Here is a 26,022-nt window from a genome sequence, read left to right on the forward strand (position 1 = left end):
ATTAATTCTTTATATTTGATATTCTCTTATATCCTACTCAAATATGTGTATAGATCTCAATAATTCTAAAAGTTCAGGGAATGGAATTCATTTTTTTTGGTAAATATATTGCCGTTTTCTATCTCATTAGGGTAGACAATTTGTCTATCTCAATTGGCCAAACTGCTATTGGGTCGCAGTCGCCTTAGCTTGTGTAAACTATAAAGAACTGGTTCAGATACTCTATATGGAACTCTGTCAAATTCTGGTTCCCAAACCTTGGCTCAGTTTAAGACTTCAAGATACACACATAAATGTAAATAAATAAATTAAAAGTATATATATATATTTATTGTTGTTGTTGTTATTGTTAGATAGATTGTTTTGTCCCAAAGGTATAACCAGTACGTGGTCACTATAGTAAATACATAAATTACAGAAAAATAATAGGAAGAAGAAGAAAATTACTCTGATTCCACCTAAAGATAGTGATTGATTTGGGGGTATTTCTTTTTGCTCTTTATTTCTATGTAGTGTTGTTTGTTTCACATATTATAATATTGCATCCTACCCTTTTCACTTATAATTATAACACAAGCATTTTTCCATTTAATCATGAACTCTTTTTAAATAACATGTGTAATGGTTGCACAACATTCCATGGCATGCTGTAGCATTTCAGTAGAACATAGCTCGGTGGAGGAGACAACAGTATACACATAGAGTAAGCTTAGATTATGTTCTCAAATTAGTTAGGCAAGAATGTAAAATCTGATGGGCAGCAAGGTGTCCTCAGAGGATGGGAGCAGATGCAGGATAAATCAGCATGGCTTCTCTTACTCTGTGCTGATCCTCATGAGGCACGTGGCTGCAGCTGATATCCTTCATAGCGGGTCTCTGGATCTGGAAAGCTCCACAATCCTTTCACCACCCTTTTATATGCTTCTTGGAAGAATTTACACCAACAAACTATGCATTTTTGTTGAAGATAATTATTACAACATTGAACTTTTCTGGAACCAAACTCAGCAAAGAATAGGTGATGTTCTCGTCTTGAAGGACATATAGGGTATCAATTTATTGCCTCACAGCTACAAATTCACTCTTCATTGCATGCTCTGAGAAAATGGATATGGGCCCTTTAAATATTTTTCTTTGCCAGATGGCACCATGTTAATCTTTGTCGGTAGAGGGTGCATGAGAGACATGATAGGAGGAACGGGCTTTGCTTCCTGGTCTGACCATTTTTATATGCAAGCTCCTGGAATGCCTGTGGTTTCTCCAGCACCTGGGTCCTGCTGGCAACCAGCAGCACCCAGTGGCCAGCAGCGTACTCTTTCACCTCTTCTTGGGTGACTTTGTGGAATGCTCCAATGTGACATCTCCCTGTGAACGCCTTTCCTGACACCCTAAAAAGTGTCAGGAATTTCCAGCAAGTTCCAGAGAGCAGGTTTCCAGCAAGTTTGGTCAGTATGACACCACAGCGATATCTCTGCCATTCACTGAACTTGGATTCTTCCTTCTTCAGTGAGGTATGGATTTCAACCCTGGATTGGGAAGTGGCTGGGGACCCTTCCCTGGGCACTGTATCCCAGCCCTGGGGACAGTGGCTGCTTCATATTCCCGTATCCATTAGCATTCTCTTCTTTTTTTTTTTTTCCTTTCCAACTTTTATTTTAGGTTCAGGGGTACATGCGCAGGTTTGTTACATGGGTAAACTATATGTGATGGGGGTTTGGTGTACAGATTATTTCATCACCCAGATAATAAGCATAGTACTTGACAAGTAGTTTTTCAATCCTCACCCTCCTCTCACCCTCCACCCTCAAGTAGGCCCAGGTATTTAGTTTCCTTCTTTCTGTCCATGTGTACTCAATGTTTAGCTTCCACTTATAAGTGAGAACGTGAAGTATTTATTTTCTGTTCTTGCATTAAATTGCTTAGGATACTGGCCTCTAGCTCTATTCATGTTGCTGAAAAGGACAAGATTTCACTGTTTTTTATGGCTGCGTAGTATTCTGTGGTATATAATATGTACCACATGCTCATTATCCAGTCCACCATTGATAGGCATCTAAGTGGATTCCATGTCTTTGCTATTGTGAATAGTGCTGTGATCAACATATGCATGCATGTCTTTATGGGAAAATTATTTATGTTCCTTTGTGTATATACCCAGTAATGGGATTGCTGGCAGTTCTGTCTTAAATTCTCTGAGAAATCTCCAGACTGCTTTCCACAGTGGCTGAACTAATTTACGTTCCCAACAGCAGTGTGTATGCATTCCCTTTGCTCCACAACCTCACCAGCATCTGTTATTTTTTGACTTTCTAATAATAGCCATTCTGACTGGTGTGAGATGGTATCTCATTGTGGTTTTGATTTGCATTTCTGTAATGATTAGTGATATTGAGCTTTTTTTCATAGGCTTGTTGGCTGCATGTATGTCTTCTTTGGAGAAATGTCTGTTCACGTCATTTGCCCATTTTTTAATGGGGTTGTTTGTTTTTTGCTTGTTAATTTATTTAAGTTCCTTATAGATTCTGGATAGTAGACCTTTGGTGTATGGTTTGCAAATATTTTCTCCCATTCTGTAGGTTGTCTGTTTACTCTGTTGATAATTCCCTTTTTTGTGCAGAAGCTCTTTAGTTTAATTAGATCCCACTTGTCAATATTTGTTTTTGTTGCAATTGCTTTTGAAGTCTTTGTCATGAAATTTTTGCCAGGGCCTATGTCCAGAGGGTACTTGCTAGGTTTTCTTCTAGGGTTTTCATAGTTTTAGGTTTTACATTTAAGTATGTAATCCATCTTAATTTGTGTATATGGTGTAAGGAAGGGGTCCAGTTTCCATTTTCTACATATGGCCAGCCAGTTATCCTAGCACCATTTATAAAATAGGGCATCCTTTCCCCATTGCTTGTTTTCATTGACTTTGTTGATTATCAGTTGTAGGTTTCTGGCTTTATTTCGGAGTTCTCTAACCTGTTCCATTGGTCTATGTGTCTGTTTTTGTATCAGTATCATACTGTTTTGGTTACTGTGGCCTTGTAGTAAAATTTGAAGTTAGGTAGTGTGATACCTCCAGCTTTATACTTTTTCCTTAGGATTTCTTTGGCTATTTGGGCACTTTTCTGGTTCCATATGAATTTTAGAATAGTTTTTCTAATTCTGTAAAAAATGTCATTGGTAGCTTGATAGGAATGGCATTGAACATATAAATTTCTTTGGACAGTATGGCTGTTTTAACAATATTGATTCTTCCTATCCATGAGCATGGAATATTTTTCCATTTCTTTGTGTCATCTCTGATTTCTTTCAGCAGTATTTTGTAATTCTTGTTGTAGGGATCTTTTACCTCCCTGTTTAGCTCTATTGCTAGGTACTTCTTTGTGTTGCTTTTGTGAATGGGGTTGCATTTTAAAAAATAATTTAAAAAATTTTGAGGGGTACATATTAGGTGTACATATTTATGAGGTACATGAGATGTTTTGGTACAGGCATGTAACACATAATAATCATGTCATACAAAATTGGCTATTTATCCCCTCAAGTATTTATCCTTTGTATTACTCTTTTAGTTATTTTAAAATAACTAAAATTATGCTTTTAGTTATTTTAAAATGTACAATTAAATTATTGTTGACTATAGTGCCCCTGTTATGCTGTCAAATACTAGGTCTTACTCTTTCTTTCTATTTTATTTTGTACCCATTAACCAACCCCACTTCTTCCCTGCCCTCCCACTACCCTTCCCAGCCTCTGGTAACTATCCTGTTCTCTATCTCTGTGAGTTCAATTGTTTTGATTTTTAGATTTCACAAATAAGTGAGAACATGTGATGTTTTTCTTTATCTGCCTAGCTTATTTCACTTAACATGATGACAGCCAGTTCCATCCATGTCGTCGCAAGTAACAGAATCTCATTCTTTTTTTTGTGGCTGAATAGTACTCCATTGTGTATAAGTATGACATTTTCTTTATCCATTCTTCTATTGATGAACACTTAGGTTGCTTCTAATGTTGGCTGTTGTTAACAGTGATACAACAAACATGGTAGTGCAGATATCTCTTCAGTATACTGATTTTTTTCTTTTGGTACATACCCAGAAGTGGGATTGCTGGATCACATAATAGCTCTATTTTAGTCTTTCAAGGAACCTCCAAACTGTTTTCCATAGCGGTTGTACTAATTTACATTTCCACCAACAGTATATGAGGGTTCCCTTTTCTCCATATCCTCACCAGCATTTGTTTTTGGCTGACTTTTGGATAAAAGCCATTTTAACTGGAGTGAGATGATATCTTGTAATTTTGATTTGCATTTCTCTGATGATCAGTAGCATTGACCACTTTTTCATATGCCTGTTTGCCATTTGCATGTCTTCTTTTGAGAAATGTCTATTAAAATATTTTGCCCATTTTTAAATCGGATTATTAGATTTTTTTCCTATAGGGTTGTTTGAGCTCTTTATATAGTCTGCTTATTAATCCCTTGACAGATGGGTGTTGCAAATATTTTCTCCCATTCTGTGGGTTGTCTCTTCACTTTGTTGATTGTTTCCTTTGCTGTGCAGAAGCTTTTTAACTTGATGTGATCCCATTTGTCCATTTTTTTCTTTGGTTGCCTGTGCTTGTGGGGTACGACTCAAGAAATTTTTGCCCAGACCAATGTTCTGGAGAGTTTCCTCAATATTTTCTTGTAGCAATTTCATAATTTGAGGTCTTAGATTGAAGTCTTTATTTTATTTTATTATTAAACTTTAAGTTTTAGGGTACATGTGCACAATGTGCAGGTTTGTTACATATGTATGCATGTGCCATGTTGGTGTGCTGCACCCATTAACTCGTCATTTAACGTTAGGTATATCTCCTAATGCTATCCCTCCCCCCTCCCCCGACCCCACAACAGGCCCTGGTGTGTGATGTTCCCCTTCCTGTGTCCGTGTGTTCTCATTGTTCAATTCCCACCTATGAGTGAGAACATGCAGTGTTTGGTTTTTTGTCCTTGCGATAGTTTCCTGAGAATGATGGTTTCCAGCTTCATCCATGTCCCTACAAAGGACATGAACTCATCAGTTTTTATGGCTGCATAGTATTCCATGGTGTATATGTGCCACATTTTCTTAATCTAGTCTATCATTTTGGACATTTGGGTTGGTTCCAAGTCCGCTATTGTGAATAGTGCCGCAATAAACATACATGTGCATGTGTCTTTATAGCAGCATGATTTATAATCCTTTGGGTATATACCCAGTAATGGGATGGCTGGGTCAAATGGTATTTCTAGTTCTAGATCCCTGAGGAATTGCCACATTGACTTCCACAATGGTTGAACTAGTTTACAGTCCCACCAACAGTGTAAAAGTGTTCCTATTTCTCCACATCCTCTCCAGTACCTGTTGTTCCCTGACTTTTTAATGATTGCCATTCTAACTGGTGTGAGATGGTATCTCATTGTGGTTTTTATTTGCATTTCTCTGATGACCAGTGATGATGGGCATTTTTTCATGTGTCTTTTGGCTGCATAAATGTCTTCTTTTGAGAAGTGTCTGTTCATATCCTTTGCCCACTTTTTGATGGGGTTGTTTGTTTTTTTCTTGTAAGTTTGTTTGAGTTCTTTGTAGATTCTGGATATTAGCCCTTTGTCAGATGAGTAGAATGCAAAAATTTTCTCCCATTCTGTAGGTTGCCTGTTCACTCTGAGGGTAGTTTCTTTTGCTGTGCAGAAGCTCTTTAGTTTAATTAGATCCCATTTATCAATTTTGGCTTTTGTTGCCATTGCTTTTGGTGTTTTAGTCATGAAGTCCTTGCCCATGCCTATGTCCTGAATGGTATTGCCTAGGTTTTCTTCTAGGGTTTTTATGGTTTTAGATCTAACATTTAAGTCTTTAATCCATCTTGAATTAATTTTTGTATACGGTGTAAGGAAGGGATCCAGTTTCAGCTTTCTACATATGGCTAGCCAGTTTTCCCAGCACCATTTATTAAATAGGGAATCTTTCCCCCATTTCTTGTTTTTGTCAGCTTTGTCAAAGATCAGATAGTTGTAGATATGTGGCATTATTTCTGAGGGCTCTGTTCTGTTGCATTGGTCTATATCTCTGTTTTGGTACCAGTACCATGCTGTTTTGGTTACTGTAGCCTTGTAGTATAGTTTGAAGTCAGGTAGTGTGATGCCTCCAGCTGTGTTCTTTTGGCTTAGGATTCACTTGGCAATGCAGGCTCTTTTTTGGTTCCATATGAACTTTAAAGTAGTTTTTTCCAATTCTGTGAAGAAAGTCATTGGTAGCTTGATGGGGATGGCATTGAATCTGTAAATTACCTTGGGCAGTATGGCCATTTTCATGATATTGATTCTTCCTACCCATGAGCATGGAATGTTCTTCCATTTGTTTGTATACTCTTTTACTTCACTGAGCACTGGTTTGTAGTTCTCCTTGAAGAGGTCCTTCACATCCCTTGTAAGTTGGATTCCTAGGTATTTTATTCTCTTTGAAGAAATTGTGAATGGGAATTCACTCATGATTTGGCTCTCTGTTTGTCTGTTATTGGTGTATAAGAATGGTTGTGATTTTTGTACATTGATTTTGTATCCTGAGACTTTGCTGAAGTTGCTTATCACCTTAAGGAGATTTTGGGCTGAGACGATGGGGTTTTCTAGATATACAATCATGTCATCTGCAAACAGGGACAATTTGACTTCCTCTTTTCCTAACTGAATACCCTTTATTTCCTTCTCCTGCCTGATTGCCCTGGCCAGAACTTCCAACACTATGTTGAATGGGAGTGGTGAAAGAGGGCATCCCTGTCTTGTGCCAGTTTTCAAAGGGAATGCTTCCAGTTTTTGCCCATTCAGTATGATATTGGCTGTGGGTTTGTCATAGATAGCTCTTATTATTTTGAGATACATCCCATCAATACCTAATTTATTGAGAGTTTTTAGCATGAAGGGTTGTTGAATTTTGTCAAAGGCCTTTTCTGCATCTATTGAGACAATCATGTGGTTTTTGTCTTTGGTTCTGTTTATATGCTGGATTACATTTATTGATGTGCATATGTTGAACCAGCCTTGCATCCCAGGGATGAAGCCCACTTGATCATGGTGGATAAGCTTTTTGATTTGCTGCTGGATTTGGTTTGCCAGTATTTTATTGAGGATTTTTGCATCGATGTTCATCAAGGATATTGGTCTAAAATTCTCTTTTTTTGTTGTGTCTCTGCCAGGCTTTGATATCAGGATGATGCTGGCCTCATAAAATGAGTTAGGGATGATTCCCTCTCTTTCTATTGATTGGAATAGTTTCAGAAAGAATGGTACCAGCTCCTCCTTGTACCTCCGGTAGAATTCGGCTGTGAATCCATCTGGTCCTGGACTTTTTTTGGTTGGTAAGCTATGAATTATTGCCTCAATTTCAGAGCCTGTTATTGGTCTATCAGAGATTCAGCTTCTTCCTGGTTTAGTCTTGGGAGGGTGTATGTGTCAAGGAATTTATCCATTTCTTCTTGATTTTCTAGTTTATTTGTGTAGAGGTGTTTATAGTATTCTCTGATGGTAGTTTGTATTTCTGTGGGATCGGTGGTGATATCCCCTTTATCATTTTTTATTGCGTCTATTTGATGCTTCTCTCTTTTCTTCTTTATTAGTCTTGCTAGCGGTCTATGAATTTTGTCAATCTTTTCATAAAACCAGCTCCTGGATTCATTGATTTTTTGAAGGGTTTTTTGTGTCTCTATCTCCTTCAGTTCTGCTCTGATCTTAGTTATTTCTTGCCTTCTGCTAGCTTTTGAATGTGTTTGCTCTTGCTTCTCTAGTTCTTTTAATTGTGATGTTAGGGTGTCAATTTTAGATCTTTCCTGCTTTCTCTTGTGGGCATTTAATGCTATAAATTTCCCTCTACACACTGCTTTGAATGTGTCCCAAAGATTCTGGTATGTTGTGTCTTTGTTGTCGTTGGTTTCAAAGAACATCTTTATTTCTGCCTTCATTTCGTTATGTACCCAGTAGTCATTCAGGAGCAAGTTGTTCAGTTTCCATGTAGTTGAGTGGTTTTGAGTGAGTTTCTTAATCCTGAGTTCTAGTTTGATTGCACTGTGGTCTGAGAGACAGTTTATTATAATTTCTGTTGTTTTACATTTGCTGAGGAGTACTTTACTTCCAACTATATGGTCAATTTTGGAATAGGTGTGGTGTGGTGCTGAAAAGAATGTATATTCTGTTGATTTGGGGTGGAGAATTCTGTAGATGTCTATTAGGCCGCTTGGTGCAGAGCTGAGTTCAGTTCCTGGATATCCTTGTTAACTTTCTGTCTCGTTGATCTGTCTAATGTTGACAGTGGGGTGTTAAAGTCTCCCATTATTATTGTGTGGGAGTCTAAGTCTCTTTGTAGGTCTCTGAGGACTTGTTTTATGAATCTGGGTGCTCCTGTATTGGGTGCATATATATTTAGGATAGTTAGCTCTTCTTGTTGCATTGATCCCTTTACCGTTATGTAACGGCCTTGTCTCTTTTGATCTTTGTTGGTTTAAAGTCTGTTTTATCAGAGACTAGGATTGCAACCCCTGCCTTTTTTTTGTTTTCCTTTTGCTTGGTAGATCTTCCTCCATCCTTTTATTTTGAGCCTATGTGTGTCTCTGCATGTGAGATGGGTTTCCTGAATATAGCACACTAATGGGTCTTGACTCTTCATCCAATGTGCCAGTCTGTGTCTTTTAATTAGAGCATTTAGCCCATTTACAGTTAAGGTTAATATTGTTATGTGTGAATTTGATCCTGTCATTATGATGTTAGCTGGTTATTTTGCTCATTAGTTGATGCAGTTTCTTCCTAGCCTCGATGGTCTTTACAATTTGGCATGTTTTTACAGTGGCTGGTACCGGTTGTTCCTTTCCATGTTTAGTGCTTCCTTCAGGAGCTCTTTTAGGGCAGGCCTGGTGGTGACAAAATCTCTCAGCATTTGCTTTTCTGTAAAGTATTTCATTTCTCCTTCACTTATGAAGCTTAGTTTGGCTGGATATGAAATTCTGGGTTGAAAATTCTTTTCTTTAAGAATGTTGAATATTGGCCCCCACTCTCTTCTGGCTTGTAGAGTTTCTGCCGAGAGATCCACTGTTAGTCTGATGGGCTTCCCTTTGTGGGTAACCTGGCGTTTCTCTCTGGCTGCCCTTAGCATTTTTTCCTTCATTTCAACTTTGGTGAATCTGACAATTATGTGTCTTGGAGTTGCTCTTCTCGAGGAGTATCTTTTTGGCATTCTCTGTATTTCCTCAATTTGAATGTTGGCCTGCCTTGCTAGATTGGGGAAGTTCTCCTGGATAATATCCTGCAGAATGTTTTCCAACTTGTTTCCATTCTCCCTGTCAGTTTCAGGTACACCAATCAGACGTAGAGTTGGTCTTTTCCCATAGTCCCATATTTCTTGGAGGCTTTGTTCGTTTCTTTTTATTCTTTTTTCTCTAAACTTCTCTTCTCACTTCATTTCATTCATTTGATCTTTCATCACTGATACCCTTTCTTCCAGTTGATCAAATCGGCTACTGAGGCTTGTACATTCGTCACGTAGTTCTCATGCCATGGTTTTCAGCTCCATCAGATCCTTTAAGGACTTCTCTGCATTGGTTATTCTAGTTAGCCATTCGTCTAATCTTTTTTCAAGGTTTTTAACTTCTTTGCCATGGGTTCTAACTTCCTCCTTTAGCTCGGAGTAGTTTGATCGCGTGAAGCCTTCTTCTCTCAACTCGTCAAAGTCATTCTCTGTCCAGCTTTGTTCCATTGCTGGTGAGGAGCTGCATTTGTTTGGAGGAGGAGAGGCGCTCTGCTTTTTAGAATTTCCAGTTTTTCTGCTCTGTTTTTTCCCATCTTTGTGGTTTTAGCTACCTTTTGTCTTTGATGATGGTGACATACAGATGGGGTTTTGGTGTGGATGTCCTTTCACTTTGTTAGTTTTCCTTCTAACAGTCAGGACCCTCAGCTGCAGGTCTGTTGGAGTTTGCTGGAGGTCCACTCCAGACCCTGTTTGCCTGGGTATCAGCAGCGGAGGCTGCAGAACAGTGGATGTTGGTGAACAGCAAATGTTGCTGCCTGATCATTCCTCTGGAAGTTTTGTCTCAGAGGAGTACCTGGCCGTGTGAGGTGTCAGTCTGCCCCTACTGGGGGGTGCCTCCCAGTTAGGCTACTCGGGGGTCAGGGACCCACTTGAGGAGGCAGTCTGTCCGTTCTCAGATCTCAAGCTGTGTGCTGGGAGAGCCACTACTCTCTTCAAAGCTGTCAGACAGGGACATTTAAGTCTGCAGAGGTTTCTGCTGCCTTTTGTTTGGCTATGCCCTTCCCCCAGAGGTGGAGTCTACAGAGGCAGGCAGGCCTCCTTGAGCTGCAGTGGGCTCCACCCAGTTTGAGCTTCCCAGCCGCTTTGTTTACCTACTGAAGCCTCGGCAATGGTGGGCACCCCTCCCCCAGCCTCGCTGCTGCCTTGCAGTTTGATCTCAGACTGCTGTGCTAGCAATGAGCGAGGCTCTGTCGGCATAGGATCCTCCGAGCCAGGCATGGGATACAATCTCCTGGTGTGCCGTTTGCTAAGGCCCTTGGAAAAGTGCAGTATTAGGGTGGGAGTGACCCGATTTTCCAGGTGCCATCTGTCACCCCTTGTCTTGGCTAGGAAAGGGAATTCCCTGACCCCTTGTGCTTCCCAGGTGAGGCCATGCCTCGCTCTGCTTTGGCTCACGCTCGGTGTGCTGCACCCACTGTCCTACACCCACTGTCTGACAATCCCCAGTGAGATGAACCGGGTACCTCAGTTGGAAATGCAGAAATCATTCATCTTATGCGTCACTCACACTGGGAGCTGTAGACTGGAGCTGCTCCTATTCGGCCATCTTGGCTCAGATTTAAGTCTTTAATCCATTTTTATTTGATTTTTGTATAAGGCGAGAAATAGGGATCAAGTTTCATTCTTCTGCGTATGGATATCTAGTTTTCCTGGCATCATTTATCAAAGAGACTGTCTTTTCCCCCAATATGTGTTCCTGGCACCTTTGTTGAAACTGAGTTCATTGTAGGTGTGTGGATTTGTTTGTGGGTTCTGTATTGGTCTATGTGTCTGTCTTTATGCCAGTACCACACTGTTTTGGTTACTATAGCTCTAGCTCTGTAGTATAATTTAAAGTCAGGTAATGTGATTCCTCCAGCTTTGTTTTTTGTTTGTTTGTTTGTTTGTTTTTTTGTTTGTTCAGAATAGCTTTGGCTATTCTGGGTCTTTTGTGATTCCATATAAATTTTATGATTTTTTTTCTACTTCTGTGAAGATTTCATTGGTATTTTGATAGGGATTGCATTGAATCTGTAGGTTGCTCAAGGTAGTATGGACATTTTAGCAAAATTGTTTTTTCCAATCCATGAACATGGAATATCTTTGCATTTTTCTGTGTCCATTTCTTCCATCATTGTTTTATAATTTTCATTGTAGAGGTCTTTCATTTCTTTGGTTAATTCCTAGGTATTTGGAATTGCATTTGTGATTTGGATCTCAGCTTGAATGTTATTGGTATAGAGAAACGCTACTGATTTTTGTACATTGTTTTTGTATCTTGAAGTTTTACTGAAGTTGTTTACCAGATATAGGACCTTTTGGGCAGAGACTATGGGGTTTTCTGGGTATAAAATAATATCATCTGTGAAGAGAGATAGTTTGACTTCCTCTATTCCTACTTGGATGCCTTTTAATTCTTTCTCTTGCCTGATTGCTCAGCTAGGACTTCCAGTATGCATTTAATATGAGTGGTGAGAGTGGGCTTCCTTGTCTTGTTCTGGTTCTTAAGGGGAATGCATTCAGCTTTTGCCCATTCAGTATGATGTTGGCTGTGGGTTTGTCATAGATGGCTCTTATATTTTATGCATAATTTGTTGAGGGTTTTTAACATGAAGAGATGTTGAATTTTATTGAAAGCCTTTTCTTTGTCTATTGAGATGATGATGTGGTTTTTATTTTTCCTTCTGTTTATGTTATGAATCACATTTATTGATTTGTGTATGTTGAATCAACCTTGCATCCTAGGAATAAAGCCTACTTTCTCATGATGGATTAGCTTTTTGATGTGCTGCTGGATTCGGTTTGATAGTATTTAGTTGAGGATTTTTGCATCTGTGTTCATCAAAGATATTGGCCTGATGTTTTGTGTCTGTGTGTGTCTGCTGGGTTTTGGTATCAGAATGGTGCTGGCCTCATAGAGTGAGTTAGGGAGGAGTCCTTTTCCTCAATTTTTGGGAATAGTTTCAGTAGAATTGGTACTGGCTCTTCATTATACATCTGGTAGAATTCTGCTGTGTAGCCATATGGCTCAGGGCTTTTTCTGATTGGTAGGTTTTTTATGAATGATTCAATTTTGGAACTCATTATTGGTCTGTTCAAGGTTTTAATTTCTTCCTGGTTCAATCTTGGGAGGTTGTATGTTTTCAGTAATTTATTCATTTCTTCTAGGTTTCTGGTATGTGTGTGTAGAGGTGTTCATAATAGTCTCTGAGGAGTTTTTCTATTTCTGTGGGGTCAGTGCTAATTCCCCCTTTGTCCTTTCTGATTGTCCTTTTTTGAATCTTCTCTCTTTTTTTCTATATAATTCTAACTAGTAGTCTATCAATCTTATTTATTATTTCAAAAAACCAACTTTAGGTTTTGTTGATCTTTTGCATGTTTTTTCACATCTCAATTTTATTCAGTTTGGCTCTGATTTTGGTTATTTGTTTTCTTCTGTTAGCTTTGGGGTTTTTTTTTTCTTGTTTTTCTGATTCCTCTAGGTGTGACGTTAGATTGTTAATTTGAGAGCTTTCTAACTTTCTGATGTGGGCATTTAGCACTATAAACTATCCTCTTAACACTTCTTCATTTGTGTCCCAGAGATTCTAGTATATTGTATCTTTGTTTTCATAAGTTTCAAATAATTTTTTTATTTCTGCCTTAATTTCACTGTTTACCCAAAAGTCATTTATGAGACAGTTGTTTAGTTTTCATATAATTGTATTGTTTTGAGAGATCTTATTAGTATTGATTTCTGTTTTTATTTTGCTGTCTTCCAAAGGCTTGGTTGGTATGATTTTGATTTTTCTGAATGTGTTATGAATTGTTTTATGGCCAAGCATGTGGTTGATTTTAGAGTATGTGCCATGTGCAGATGAGAAGAATGTATATTTTGTTGTTGTTGGATGGAGTGTTTTGTAGATGTCTGTTAGGTCTATTTGGTCATATTGTGTTTAGGAATATGTAACAAATATGTAACAAATATCTTTGTTAGTTTTCTACCTTGATGTTCTGTCTATTACTGTCAGTGGGGTACTGTATTAGTCTGTTCTCACACTGCTATAAAGAACTACCTGAGACTGGATAATTTATGGAGAAAAGAGGTTAAATTGACTCACAGTTTGCAGGCTGTACAGGAAGCATGACTGGGAGGGCTCAGGAATCTTATAATCATGGCAAAGGCAAAGGGGAAGCAAGCACATCTTACCATGGCAGAGCAGGAGAGAGAGAAGGGGAAAGTGCTACACACTTTCAAACAACCAGGTATCTTGATAACTCACTCACTATCATGAGAATAGCAAGGGGGAAGTCCACCCCTCATGATACAATCACCTCCCACCAGGCCCCTCCTTCAACACTATTAATTACAATTTGATATGAGATTTGGGTGAGGACACAGTGTCAAACCATATCATTCCACCCCTGGCCCCTCCCAAATCCCATTTCCTTCTCATATTTCAAAGCACAATTATGCTTTCCCAACAGTCCTGCAAAGTCATAACTAATTCCAGCATTAACTCAAAAGTCCAAGTCCAAAGTCTCATCTGAGACAAGGCAAGTCCCTTCTGCCTCTGAGCCTTTAAAATCAAAAGCAAGTTAGTTACTTTCAAGATATAATGGGGGTACAGGAATTTGGTAAATAGACCTTTTCTAAGAGGGAGAAATCAGCCAAAACAAGGGGGCTACAGGCCCCATACAAGTCTGAAACCCAGCAGGGCAGTCATTAAATCTCAAAGCTTTAAAATAATCTCCTTTGACTCTATGTCTCACATCCAGGCCACATTGATGCAAGGGGTAGACTCCCAAGGCCATGGACAGTTCTGCCCCTGTGGCTCTGCAGTTCCCACAGCTGTTTTCATGGGCTGGCATTGAGTGCCTGCAGCTTTTCTGGGCATGTGGTGCCAGCTGTTGGTGGGCCTACTATCCTGAGGTCTGGAGGATGGTGGCCATCTTCTCACAGCTCCATTAGGCAGAGCCCCAGTGGTGACTCTGTGTGGGAGCTTCAACCCCACGTTTTCCGTCTGCACTGCCCTAGTTGAGGTTCTCCATGAGGGCTCTACACCACAGCAGACTTCTGCCTGGACATCCAGGCATTTCCATACATCCTCTAAAATCTAGGTAGAGACTCCAAAACCTCAACTCTTAGCTTCTGCACACCTGCAGGCTCCGCACCACATGGAAGCCATCAAGGCTTTGAGCTTTCACCCTCTGAAGCAATGGCCCGAGCTGTACATTGGCCCATTTTAGCCATGGCTGAAGCTGGAGTGGCTCAGATGCAGGGCGCCATGTTCTGAGGCTGCACAGAGCAGCAAGGCCCTGGGCCTGGCCCATGAAACATTTTTTTCCTCCTAGGTCTTCAGGCCTGTGATAAGAGGGGCTGCCATGAAGGTCTCTGAAATGCCCTGGAGACATTTTCTCCGTCGTCTTGGCAGTTAACATTCAGCTCCTCTTTACATATGCAAATTTCTGCAGCCTTGAATTCCTCTTCAGAAAATGGGTTTTTCTTTTTATATTGCATGGTTGGGCTGCAAATTTTCCAAACTTTTTTTTTTTTTTTTTTTTTTGGAGACAGAGTCTCACTCTGTTGCCCAGGATGGAGGGCAGTGGTGTGATCTTGGCTCACTGTAATTTCCACCTCCTATATTCAAGTGATTCTCATGCTTCAGCCTCCTGAGTAGCTGGGATTACAGGCATGCACTAACACACCTGGCTAATTTTTGTATTTTTAGTAGAGATGGAGTTTTGCCATGTTGGCCAGGCTGGACTCGAACTCCTGGCCTCAAGTGATCTGCTGGCCTTAGCCTCCCAAAGTGCTGGGATTACAGGCATAAGTCACCACACCCAGCCCGAATTTTCCAAACTTTTATGCTTGCTTCCCTTTTAAATATAAGCTCTAGTTTTAGGTCATTTCTTTGTTTATGCAAATAAGCATAGGCTTTTAGAAGCAGCCAGGTCATATCTGGAACACTTTCCTGCTTAGAAATTTCTTCCGTCAGAAGAAATTTCGTCTCTCTCAAGTCCAAAGTTCCACAGATCTCTAGGGCAGGGGCACAATGCCACTAGTCTTTTTGCTAAAGCATAGCAAGAGTGAAAAATAATTATTCCAGTTTCTAGTAAATTCCTCATCTCCATCAGAGACCACCTCAGGCTGGACTTCACTGTCCATATCACTATCAGCATTTAGGTCACAACTATTCAGCAAGTCTCTAGAAAGTTCCAAACTTTCCCTCATCTTCCTGTCTTCTGAGCCCTCCAAACTATTCCAACCTCTGCCCATTACCCAGTTCCAAAGTCACTTCCACATTTTCAGGTCTCTTTATAGCAATGCCCCACTTCTCTGGTACCAATGGTGGAATGGCTTTTTGAAGTCACAATCACAACGCCAACTAGGTGTGAAAATACTTTACAAGGTTTGGGCAAAGTTCTCCAGAAGGCTGTGTATGCTTTGAATCAGCATCCAATATATGGTACTGTTTTTCCCATAGCGGGATTCATGGGTTCAGGAATCAAGGGGTGGAAGTGGAAGTGGCAGCATTCACCATCACCCCTAGTGACCCACTAGCAAAATTTTTACATTCTTTTCCCACAACATTATCTTCTACTGGCCTAGAGGTCTTAGTTCCAGAGGAAGGAATGCTGCCACCAGGAGACACAGCAATGATTCCATTTAACCGGAAGTTAAGATTGCCACCTGGCCACTCTGGCCTCCTCTTGCCTCTAAGTCAACAGGCTAAGAAGGGAGTTACAGTGTTGGCTGAAGTGATTGACCCAGACTATCAAGATGAAATAAGACTACTACTCCACAATGGAAGTAAGGAAAAGTATGTCTGGAATACAGGAGACCCCTTAGGGCGTCTCTTAGTATTACCATGCCCTGTGATTAAGGTCAATGGAAACTACAACAACCCAATTCAGGCAGGACTACAACTGGCCAGAACCCCTCAGGAATGAAAGTTTTGGTCACTCTACCAGGTAAAAAACCGTGACCAGCCAAGGTGCTTGCTGAAGGCAAAGGGAATACAGAATGGGTAGTAGAAGAAGGTAGTTATGAATACCAGCTATGACCACATGACCAGGTACAGAAATGAGGATTGTAATTGTCATGACTATTTCCTCCTTATTTTGTTATAAATATGTTTGTGCATACATACACCTGTACTGAGAAAGTGTCTTCATTTTATTTCCCTTCTTTTTCCTTTATCACGTAACGTAAGATTTATTGACTTCATATCAGCATTTAAGTGTTGTTAACTTTATTTAATAGCATTTAGGTTAAGGATTAGTGTGCTTCTTGTTGTATGAAGGATAGTTGTATTATGTTAGGCATAATTATGACCTATTATTTTCTTTATTTGGAGATTAAGTGTGATTTCAGGAGATGTGTATGAGTGCCAAGTTGACAAGGAGTTGACTTGTGATAGTCAATATGAGGTGACAACCTGATTGGATTGAAGAATGCCTAGATAGCTGGTAAAGTATTGTTTCTGGGTGTGTAAGTTAGGATGTTGCCTGAGGAGATTGACATTTGAGTCAGTGGACTGGAAGAGGAAGACCCACCCTGAATGTTCAATGGGCACCATCCAATTGGCGCCAGTGCAGCTAGAACAAAAGCAGGAGGAAGAAGGTGGGATAAGACGGCTTGCTGTGTCTTCTGGCTTTCATTTCTTTCCTGTGGTGGATACTTCCTTTTGTTTCTCCTGCCCTTGGCCATCAGACTCCAAGTTCTTCAGCCTTTTGACTCTTGGACTTCTGCCAGTGTTTGACGAGGGGCTCTTGGGCCTTCAACCACAGACTGAAGGCTGCACTGTTGACTTTCTTGCTTTTGAGGCTTTTGGACTCAGACTGAGCCACTACTGGCCTCTATCTTCCTCAACTTGCATATGGCCTATTGTGGGACTTTGCCTTGTGATAGTGTGAGCCAATTCTCCCTAATAAACTTCCTTTCATATATACGTATATCCTGTTAGTTCTGTCCCTCTGGAGAACCCTGACTAATACAGGTACTGATGTCTTCCGCTATTATTTTGTGGTTGTCTAAGTATCTTCCTAGGTCTCTTAAAATTTGTTTTATGAATCTGGGTTCTCCAGTATTGGGTGCAGATATACTTAGGATAGTTAAGTCTTTTCGAATTGAACCCTTAATCATTATGTAATACCTTTCTTTGTCCTTTTTGTCATTTGTCAGTTTAAAGACTATTTTGTCTGAAATTAGAATGGCAACCCCTGCTCTTTTTTGTTTTCCATTTGCTTGCTTGATTTTCTTTTTCCAGTCCTTTACTTTGAGCCTAAGGATATCATTGTATGTGAGTTGGATCTCTTGAAGGCAGCATACAGTTGGGTCTTACCCCTTTAGATTCTTAATTCTTCACCTTTTAAATGGGGTGTTTAGACCATTTATGTTCAAGTTTAATATTGATATGTACAGATTTGATTCTATCATTGTGGTGTTAGTTGGTTGTTATGCAGACTTGATTGTATAGTTGCTTTATGGTGTCAATTGTCTATGTACTGAAGTGTGTTTTTGTGATGGCTAGTAACAGTTTTTTGTTTCCATATTTAGCATGCCCTTAAGGACCTCTTGTAAGGCAGGTCTGGTGGTAATGCATTCCCTTAGCATTTGCTTGTCTGAAAAGGATTTTTTTTTTTTTTCATTTATGAAGCTTAGCTTCACTGGGTATGAAATTCTTGGTTGGAATTTTTTTCTTTTGAGAATACTAAATATAAGCACCCAGTCTCTTCTGGCTTGTAGGATTTCTGCTGAAAGACCCACTGTTAGCCTGATAGGGTCCCCTATGTAGGTGACCTATCCGTTCTCTCTAACTGCCTTTAATATTTTTTCTTTTACTTTGACCTTGGGAATCTGATGACTATGAGTCTTGGGGATGGTCATCTTATATAGTATCTCACAGAAGTTCTCTGAATTTCCTGAATTTGAATGTTTACCTCTCTAGTAATGTTGGGGGAGTTTTCATGGACAATATCCTCAAATATGTCTTCCAAGTTGCTTGTTCTCCCTCCCTCTTTTTCAGGGATACCAGTGAGTCATAGGTTTAGTCTCTTTACATAATATCATATTTCTCAGAGGTTTGTTTATTTTTTTTCTTTATTTTGTCTGACTAAATTTTTTTTAAGAACCAGTCTTCGAGCTCTGAGATTCTTTCCTCAGCTTGGTCTATTCCGCTGTTAATACTTTTGATTTATTATGAAATTATTGAAATGAGTATTTCAGATCTATCAGATCAGTTTGGTTCTTTCTTAAAATGTCTATTTTGTCTTTTAGATCTCTTATCATTTTATTGGACTCCTTGGATTGGGTTTTGGCTTTCTCCTGAATCTTGATGCTCTTCTTTGCTATCCTGATTCTGAATTCCTTGTCTGTCATTTTAGTCATTTCAGTATGGTTAAAAACAATTGCTGGGGAGCAAGTGAAGTCATATGGAAGTAAGAAGACACTTTGGCTTTTTGAGTCGCCAGAGTTCTTGCACTGGTTCTTTCTTATCTATATGGGCTGATGTTCCTTTAATCTTTGAAGTTACTGCCCTTTGGATGGGTTTTTTTTGCTTTCTTTGATGCCCTTGTGGTATAAATTGGATTCAGTTAACTGGCTTCATTGCTGAAAGATTTCAGGGGGCTACAGCTCAGCTCAGCACAGCTGGGCTGTGTGCTGTAATCCTAGGCAGCTGGTAGCAGGCCCATGGCTTTATTCTCTGGTACTTCAAGGTTAAGCACCTCCTGCACTGGAGGGGCTGAGGTGTTCCCGGCCTGCTGGCAACAACGATCTGATGGGGGATGCTGGCAAAACTGCTTCTTTGGGGTATGGCAGCAGGGTCCTTGCATGTATGTGTGCACTGGTGGGAGCAGGGCAGCAGAGTCCGTGCACACACATGCTTGTGCCAGTAGCAGCAAGGCAGTGGAGTGCGCATGCACATGCACGGGCAGGGCCTGTCTCACAGGGTTCTTGTGAGGGTTAAGGGAGATAATACATATAAATTATTTGAAACCGTACCTGGAACATAATAAGTATTCAATAAATATTATCTGTTGTTATAAGTTAATCTGAGTGGATCTGAGATTGAATTTGGTTGGAGGGCCACAAAGACAAATGTAGTGCCTGACAGGAGCATATGCCACAGTTTACTTAGCCATTCCTGCGTGGCAGACATTTTGTTGTTTTTGATGTTTTACTGTAATAAACAATGCTATTATTAACATATTTGTGTGCAAAACCCATGTACTTGGGAACTTTATTTATAGTGGGGAATGGCAAGTCATTTATCTTTAAGGAGGTGCTTCATAAACCAACATAGGTTTTGGCCTCACCCAATACAGCAAGTAGAATTATTATAAAGTATAGAATAAATCTTGTTGAGGATCTTAGTGACTCAAAGTTTGCCAACTTGTCAAGAACCTCTTTCTAACTGCTTCTTAACATGTGACAAAGCAAAGTTTTTCTTTTGAGAAAATAATAATATTCAATACACAGTAAGTAATCTTATCATAGTTTTTAGGATGTCCTTTGGCTCTAAGTTAGGCACATTGAAAATGCCCATTCTGAGTTAGTTAGTTAATTAAGTTAATACTTATTCAAATGTCAAATGGTTTAGAAATTAAACAATTTTGGGATGGGACTTCAGGAATGACTTAATAGTTATATGACCTTGGGCCAGTTATTTTAACCTCTGTGAATTAAGCAATTATTTTGGCCTCTCTCAGACTCAGTTTCCTCATAAGTATAATAAAAATAATAATGCTTATGTTAATTTTTATGCAACAATTATATATTGAGTTTCTATTACATGACAGGTACTTTTCTAGGTGCTTGGGATGCATCAGTGAAAAAAATCTCCCTGTTCCAAAGGACCTTACATTCTAGTGGTAGCAAGGACAGATGATAAATGATAAACATAATGCTTAAATAAATTATATAGCATATTAGAAAATGGTAAATGCAATGGAAAATGGAAAACACAGTGTTGGATAAGAAGGATCAGGTATGCATGGAAGGATCAATATTTTTAAAAGTGCAGTTAGGGTAGGTCTCACTGGGGTAATATTTGAACAAAAATTTGAAAGAGGTAAGGCAGTCAGCCATGCAGCTATGTGGGGAGAGGTATTCCAGGTAGAGAGAAGCAAGTGGAAGGCCCTTAGGTGGGAGCATGACAGGCATATTTTAGGAATAGTAAGGACAGTGTGGCTGAAGCAGAGTGAATGAGGGGGAAGATGGTTGGAGACAAAGTCAGTGAGGTAACAAGTCCCAGATCATGTTGGACCTTCTAGGCATTGTCAGAGCTTCAGATTTTGCTCTGGGTGAAATGGAAAGTCATGGAGGATTCTGAACAGAGGAACAGTTGAACTTATGTTTTATCAGAATCATTCTGACTCTTGAGTGAGGATAAACTCTGGGGGTGCAGCTGATATTGTCACTCCTTCTCCTTCCTGTTCCCCTTCCCATGGAGGATACAGCCTGGCAGCTGAAAATGTGAGGCAGCGAAGGGGTTGGGGCAGCCATGCAGAGGCATAGGCTGGGGTTGGGGAGCTGCAGGCTGTGGGTCAGAAGCTGAGGGGGTGGTGTGGAGGTGGTAGGTGGAAGACACAGCCAGCATGGCGGGTGGTAGAGTGGGGAGAGGGAGTTGGTCACACTGAGCAAATTAGTAAATTGATGGTGAATGTAAGAATAATGGGAGCCAAGTTTTTCACTGCTGGAGAAGGAATTTATAAACAGAAATGAGGAAGGCTAGAAGGAACTCTGAAGTTGGACAGGAATTGGAGGTATCAGTATGAACATATGATTGTCTGTCTAGCTAGCTTTGTAATTATAGATGTTTAAGTGTGTGCCATATATATACACATCATGTCCAAGCTCTGTTCACCGGGAGGGCTTAGTAGCAATAACACCTTAGTAACAATTAGTACAATGAGCACCCAGACATTGGTTTCTAAAAACCATCTTTCACTGGAAGATACCAAGGCTCCTTGGAGTGATGGCCAATGGCTGATTCCAGGTTGGTTGGGGTGGGAGTGGGGAGACTTGGAAAGTGTAAGATGAGCCTGCAACGTCTTGTACTGGACAATAAGGAAAGGCTCAGTGAATGGTGGGAACATTTCAAAAGGACACAGGGGCTCCTATTGGTCAAATCAGGGAGAATTTTTGCATTAAAGAATAATAATGGATTACAACTCATTGAATAAAATAGGAATCTGTGAATCCATTCCGATGCGAATGAATAAATGAATGAAAAGGGTAAGCTTGACTTTACTATAAAATGCCAACTAATAAATGTATAAACAATAATGTTTGGCAACTTTCACAGATGTAGTTTGATTTGGGCTAAAGTCATCGATGAAGTCTCACAGAGGATGGATGCTAAGGCTGAAAGGTGAAGGTTTCATGAGGAACAGGATATTCTGACATATTCTGAGAATACCTTCCCCTAACATATAAATCAATTACAAAGAAAAAATGGTAAATTTAAGTGGAGAAAGCTGGCAGACATCAACATGACCAGGAGACCAAGGTGGGATAGGTTGACATTGTATCACTTCTGATGTGATGCCCTGAGAAGAGAATGTCATTGTTTCTGTGGAATTCTTGCCCTGGATGAAGTGCCTGAGTCTGATCGTAAGGAACCATCATCCTACAGGGGGTGATCCTACCGAATGTAACACTTCCTACTGTGCCAAGTGCATGGAAGATGGGGAAAGACTGAGACACTTCCAGATCAAAGGATTCTGAAGAGATATAACAGCTAACTGTGATGTGTTCGTGAAAAACTCCTGAACCACAGAGGGAAAAGAGACATTTTAGGGAAATTAGCAACAGCTGAATGGGATTTGATGGTAGTGTATCGATGTTAATTTCCTGATTCAAAGAGTTGTATGCTGATTATATAGGACAGTGTTGTTGCTTTTGGAAAATCCACACTGAAGAGTACTTTTGGGGTGACAGAGCTTACCCTCAAAAGCTTCTGATTATGTAGTTAAAATTATTTTTAAATACTTTTATTTCTAAAAGAAGGCTATTGGAAGTGAGAGATAATGATGATTTAGATCAGGGAGGTGATGTGGCAGTGGTGGGAAATGGTCAGACTCAGGATATATTTTGAAGATAGAACCAATAGAACTTCCTGATGAATTGGATATAGGTTATGAAAGAAAAATAGGGGCAAGAATGATTCCAAGGTTTTGGCCTGAGCATCTGGAATGATAAGTAAACTGTGGGTGAGACAGGTTTTTGGAGGGAATATCAAGAGTACCATATTGGATGAGTTGAGTCTGAGACACTCTATTAGACATCCTCCTAATTAAGATGTCAGGGAGGCAGTTAGAGACAAGAATTGGAAGTTCAGGAAGGGATTTGTGCTGGAGATAGAAATTTGGGAGTTATCAGAAAGCAGATGGTATTTAAAGTCATGAGGGGATGAGATCACCAGAAGAGGAAATGTAGAGAAGAGGGCATTCTCAGGACTGCTTGGCAGGGGTATTTTCAGCCTAGGTAAACTCACTGAAAAATTACTGAAAAATGTCCAACTATGTAAAAATCCACGGCTAAAGTCTTCAAAGAGGTAACAGTTTGACATATGCAAAGAGGATTAACAACATAAAGAACAAGATTATTATAAACATTAACATTTACATTGTGTTTACTATGTGTCAGGCACAATGTTGCTTTATATAGATTATCACATTTAATCTTCATCTCAATCTTGTGAGAGGGGTAATATCATTTCTAGTTTTCATGTGAGGAAACTGAAGCTCAAAGAATTTAAATAATGTGTTAAAGGTCTCACAGCTAGTAAATAGTGAGCCTGGGATTCATATCCTTGTGATCTGCCTACACTACCTTCCATTCTAATGGCTGCACTATCCTGCCTCAAGTACTGGACGAGGACAGAAAGAAGCCTGTCATGGGGCTCTAGACCCCTCTTGACTGCCCAAAACAACCACATCAAACCAACATTTTCACACACACCACACCACACACACACACACACGTGCACACACAATCAAGAGCTGAAGCCTTAGAAGATATAAGAACATTCCATCTTTCAGGCTGACTGCCCCTCACTTACGGCCATGTCAGCTCCCTGAGAGAGGTCTTAGAAATTTTAGTGTGTTGGAGGAAGGACTTACAGTGGAGTAAACCCATGTTTCCAAGGACCATGGTCCAACAATAGGCAGTGGAAAGAGTATCCCAGGCTCCAAAGAGCAACATCAGCGTCTGGGTTATGAACACGACCAACCCTGTGTTTTTAAGAGCTCCATCTTTCCTGAAATATCCTTCTTTTGGCTTGCTGTTATTTGCCACTTTTATAAGCTACTGAGCCACATCACTGGTGTGAACAGTTTCAAAGCTTACATATTTCTTCTTGTAATCAGTTTAGTCGATCTTGTAACTATAAAGAGTGAGATGGTAAATCCTGAGCTCTCATTCTGAGTCAGAATTTATGATAAGAACAACGTGCTTGTGCCCAAACAGAACCATGCATGTATGGTAATATGGCACTTGAAATTTATGTACTTCCTTTTATCCAAGGAACAGAAAGTGCTTCTGTAAAATGGATTTAGAGCCAACTGTCTACAGCAGGCAATGGGAACAGTTCAAAAAAGGACTGCCGAGAGAATCATTTAATTTATGCAAGGCCAGGGTTCACACTAAACAACCATGTGCCCCAATTTGTTTCACAGAAATGGTTCCAGGAGACCACTGCCATTTCAACCCCTGCTCAACAGGGATGAATTCAACTGCATCTTTGCCCACCAGTTGTATATGAAGACATTCTTTCATCCCTGCGGTTTAGTGCTGGTTGCTGCACAGGACTAGCCCCTGGTATTAGCTGAGGAGATCACCAGCAGAATGGGTCCCATCATTCCTTTCCACTGACTAACTGGTTGGCTCTTCTTCTTAGTAAGGGAGAGCCTTTATGATTAACTGTGCTAGCATGAAAAAACTCTAGTCTTGTAGGTAAGCCCACTATAATTTATAACCCCACTATAAAATATTATGGCTTCTCTCTATCACACACTTCAAAATGCACATGCTACAGTAGGTCCTTGTATTAGTTACCTATCGCTGCATAACAAATTATCCAAAACTTAGTGCGTTAAAAGGTTTATTATGTCCCAGTGTCTGTGGGTCAGGAATCCTGACATGGCTTGACTGAGTCTTCTGCTTCAAGGCCTCTCTCAAGATCTTACCCAGGGCTGTAGTCATCTCCAGGCTAGACTAGGGGAGGACTTGCTTCCAATCATGAGGTATTTGGCATGATTCAATTCTTTGAGGGCTGTGAGACTAAGGCCCCAGTTTCTCACAGGCTGTTGGTTGGAGGTCTCCTTCAGTCCCAAGAGAGAGCACCAGCACGAATGAAGTCACAGTCTTTTGTAACCTAATCACAGAAGTGACATCTCATCACCTTTGCCATATTCTATTTGTAGAAGCACGTCACCAGTTCACATTTACGGGCAGGGGCTTACCCAGGGCATGAAAACCAGAAGGCAGGAATCATTGGGAGCCACTTTAGAAGCTGCCTGCCACCATCCGATGTATATTGTCACACTTGTCCTTATAATGATCCTCCAATGCAGCGTTAGTCCTCTCATTTCACAGATGGGGCAAGTTCTCAGACTTTAGTACTTGCACCTACTGACACATTTATCTTTAGTGACTCATCGTGTTCATTCATGTATGCATTTATTCCACGACTATGATGTGAAAGTACAAAATATTAGGTATGCTACTGTGCTAGGTGCCAGTAAGTTTTATTCTTGGTAAACTATAGGTGTATACAGCATCCTAGTAGTTCTTCAATGAGTATTTACTGAGAGGAAGAACTGTTCATTATATATGTATATATATATATGTATATAGTAGTGCCTAATTTATTGTGTTATACCAATAGTAGATGGTAGTAGTAATTAGTATTTATATTATTAAATATAAAAATTATATTTTATGTATTATAAGAATATAATAATTCTCATGAGTTGTTAATCTATTTTTATAATTTTAAAATATATAACTGGGAGTACTCTTCTGGTTTTTGAGGGTCTAGGATTCAATAACTTCTGTTTCAGAGATGAATAAATATAGATGAATAGTGGTTATGATATAGACGATGCCCCAGAAACTGAAATGGAGAATTTCATTCCAGTCCTATTTGTAGCCCAAACTCTATGTACAAACTACATGGGAAAAGCTGACATGTAACTTGAGTCAGCTCCACGTTAAACACACATTGAGTACCTGCCATAGGCATTAGCAAGGCTCATCATTGTATTGCTGGTGAGATCATGTACAAAAATAATTTTGCAAATTGAAAAATACACATAAATATAAAAGAATTTTTTAAATTGTTTGTGCTGCTTCCTTAACTCAGGGAAGCCTACAAGGTGCCAAGTTCTGTGGTAAGTGCTTCTTAAAATGTTACTTAATCCTTCTCACAACTGCTCTGAAAAGCAAGGTCAGAGCTCCTGGTTGCTGGTGGTTCAAAAAGGGTTCATTTCTGTCTGCTGAGAGGGCTCTGCGATCTGTGAGTTCGTGGTGGCCAAACATAGGGAGACTTCCAAGTGAAACCCTCGTTGATGACATAGTGAAACTGTGAGTTTATTGAAGTGGGAATACACCCCCTCCTAACTTACCCCACACAGAAACAGATCTGTGCAAACATGCTTGTCCTTTTTAGGATGATACAATAACTTTTGAGATAATGGAAGATACTCTGGAATCTTGGAAGTCAGTGAGAGGAACTACTGGCATAGTAGT

General features: G+C 39.9%; 1 long non-coding RNA gene across 1 annotated transcript in view; it reads left to right on the plus strand.

The window, feature by feature from the left end:
• The first annotated feature begins 1,228 nt into the window (after positions 1-1,228).
• The window catches only part of LINC02615 (long intergenic non-protein coding RNA 2615), a 91,383-nt gene continuing 66,589 nt past the window's right edge, over positions 1,229-26,022 (plus strand). Inside the window, exon 1 of the long non-coding RNA NR_125882.1 lies at positions 1,229-1,511. This is a non-coding gene — a long non-coding RNA (long intergenic non-protein coding RNA 2615). The remainder of the gene's footprint in view (positions 1,512-26,022) is intronic.

This window comes from Homo sapiens, chromosome 4 (genome assembly GCF_000001405.40).
Source record: "Homo sapiens chromosome 4, GRCh38.p14 Primary Assembly".
NCBI lineage: Eukaryota > Metazoa > Chordata > Mammalia > Primates > Hominidae > Homo > Homo sapiens.